Source organism: Homo sapiens, chromosome 10 (genome assembly GCF_000001405.40).
Source record: "Homo sapiens chromosome 10, GRCh38.p14 Primary Assembly".
NCBI classification, from domain to species: domain Eukaryota; kingdom Metazoa; phylum Chordata; class Mammalia; order Primates; family Hominidae; genus Homo; species Homo sapiens.
Window position 1 is genome coordinate 81,570,679 of NC_000010.11, and position 2,966 is coordinate 81,573,644.

Sequence of the window (2,966 nt, forward strand, 5' to 3'; positions counted from 1 at the left end):
GGAAGAGGCCAGGCAGCAACAGCAAACACTCCTGAGCCTGGGGGGACAAAGGAAGCTTCCTGGGCCCCTGAGAGTGCAGGGATGCCTGAGTCTGTGGTTGGACAGGGCAGCTGCAGCGCACCCAGGGAGCTCCTGGCATGCAAACTCAGAAGGGGTGAGGCTTCTGCTTGTCCCTGGCTCCCACTGGCTCTGTAGATCATGCAGCCCTGGCCACAACCCATGCAGCCTGGGGTGGGGGCTCCAGGTCCTTGCTGGGCCTAGGCCAGTGTTCGGGGCAGGAGCAACATCATTGAGAGCTCCCCGATGGCCGCAACCTTCAGGGGCAGCCCAGGGCTCCCCTTCACCTGGCTTGTGGCCCTGTCTAGGGGGCACACCTCTGGAAGTGGATTGTGGACCCTGGGCCCAGCCGTCGGGAGTGTCAGGCTCAGTGGTCACGCTGATGCAAGGCAGACCCCAGGGACATGCACTGGTGCAGCCCCATACAGAGCCTCCTCCTGAGGTGAAAAACCCAGCATCCTCTGCAGAGTGGGAGTGGTGGCTGCACCACTGGCCAGGTTCTCGAAGCAGGCCTGCTCCCACTTTCCGTCCTGGCTCCCAAAGCGTGGCCCCAACTTCGCACCCCAGGCCCGGTCCCCATGCTCCATATGCAAGCCCAGCACCAACCTGGGCCCAGCACTGCCCTGGGCCCCTCTCTGCCCGATAGTGCTGTTCCTGCAACAGCAGGAGGCGTGGCCCAGCCCCATCACTGTAGTCCTCAGGGCAGTGGGTTTCAGGGGGCTCCCTGGGGCGGCCTGGGAACTGTCTTCCCCCTGCCCACACCTTCCCCGTAGTGCTGGCCGGCGAGAGCAGCAATGCATGGCCAGGGTTCAGAGCCATGGAGGCTCCAGGACTGAGAGGGGTTTCTACCCGGTCACATGAAGATGGAGGCAGTGCAGTTGGCCACCTTGTGGACATGGTGCACAGATGACCCACCGCCACCACTGCCGCTCCTGCTGCCGCTCCTGTTTCCACTGCCTGTGCTTCCCCACTGTGGACTGCCCCTTGCTGCCATCACAATGACATTGTTTCTATTTCTGTGAAATAGATACAGCTATCCTAAAATTCATATGGAACCAAACAAGAGCATGAATAGCCAAAGCAACACTGAGCAAAAAGATCAAAGCTGAAGCAATCACATTACCTTTCTTCAAACTATACCACAAGGCTACAGTAACAAAAATAACACGTTAGTAGTAGAAATATAGACACACAGATCAATGGAACAGAATAGACATCCTAGAAATAAAGTCACATCCCCACAACCGACTGATCATCGACAAAAATAAGCAATGGGAAAAGGACTCCCTATTCAATAAATGGTGCTGGGATAACTGGCTAGCCATACACAGAAGACTGAAACTGGACCCCTTTCTTACACCATATACAAAAATCAACTCAAGATGGATTAAAGACTTAAATGTACAACCTAAAACTATAAAAACTATAAAAATCCTGGAAGATAATCTAGGAAATATCATTCTGGACAAAAGTCCTTACAAAGATTTCATGATGAAGACACCAAAAGTAATTGCAACAACAAAAAAAATTGACAAGTGGGACCTAGTTAAACTAAAGAGCTTCTGCACAGCAAATGAAACTATCAACAGAGAAAATAGCCAACCTAAAGAATTGGAGAAAACATTTGCAAACTATGTATCTTATAAAGTCATAATATCCAGAATCTATAAGGAACTTAAAACAACAAAAAACCCTTTAAAAATGGGCAAAGAGTATGAACAGACATTTTTCAAAAGAAGACAAACATGCAACCAACAAGCATATGAAAAAAATGCTCAACATCACTAATCATAAAAGAAATGCAAATCAAAATCACAATGAGATACCATTTCACAACTGTCAGAAAGGCTATTATTAAAAAGTCAAAAAATAACAGATGCTGGTGAGTTTACAGAGAAAAGGGAACACTTACACACTGCTGGTGTGAATGTAAGTTAGTTCAGCCACTGTGGAAAGCAGTTTTGTGATTTCTCAGTGAACTCAAAACAGAACCACCAGTTGCCCCAGCAATCCCATTATTGGGTATATTCTCCCCAAAATATAAATTGTTCTACTATAAAGACATATGCACATGTATGTTCATTGCAGCACTATTCACAATAGCAAAGACATGGAATTAACCTAGATGCCCATCAATGGTAGACTCCATAAAGAAAATGTGGTACATATTCACCACAGAATACTATGCAGGCATAAAAAATAACAAGATAATGTCCTTTGCAGCAACATGAATGAAGCCTGAGGCCATTATACTAAGAAAATTAACCAAGGAACAGAAAACTAAATACTTCATGTTCTCACCTTTAAGTGGGAGCTAAACATTGAGTACATGTGGACACAATGAAGGCAATCATAGACACAGGGGTCTGTTTGAGGGTGAAGGGTAAGAGGATAAAGATCAAAATACTACCTATTGGATACTATGCTTATTACCTGGGTGATGAAATAATATGTACACCAAACCCCCACAACATGCAATTTATGAATATCTATATAATAAACCTGTGCATATACCCCCAAAATAAAAATAAAAGTTTAAAAAAAACTCCATATCTCATCATCAAGTCAAACACAAAAACAGCTTCTAATCAACATTTTAGCAACTCACTCTTAAAGCTGTACGATTAAATGCAATGGAATATCTGATGAAAGCCTACAAATGGAATGAGTTTAAAACAGATAAGCAAAAAAGCCAAAAATCGGGGAAAGATTCAGAAAAATAGAATTTCACAGTAATTTATATAAATTTGCAAACCTAAATTAGGAAGGTTTTGCAGAGGGAAATACCAAGATAGTATGCATCTATATTTGACATAATAAAGAGGTCAGTACATTAAATCTAACATTGATTACTCAAGAAATATTAGTATAAGCATGTTAATCATGTATGCAGGAAAATATCCGAAAAA

At 44.3% G+C, this 2,966-nt stretch overlaps 1 annotated feature.

Annotated features, from left to right (window-relative positions):
- Positions 263-1,201: an enhancer, noted in NCBI's record as "H3K4me1 hESC enhancer chr10:83330697-83331635 (GRCh37/hg19 assembly coordinates)". NCBI's record gives its function as "activates a minimal SCP1, AML or CMV promoter by ChIP-STARR-seq in primed H9 embryonic stem cells {active_cell/tissue: H9 hESC(primed)}" and the evidence as "EXISTENCE:reporter gene assay evidence [ECO:0000049][PMID:30033119]".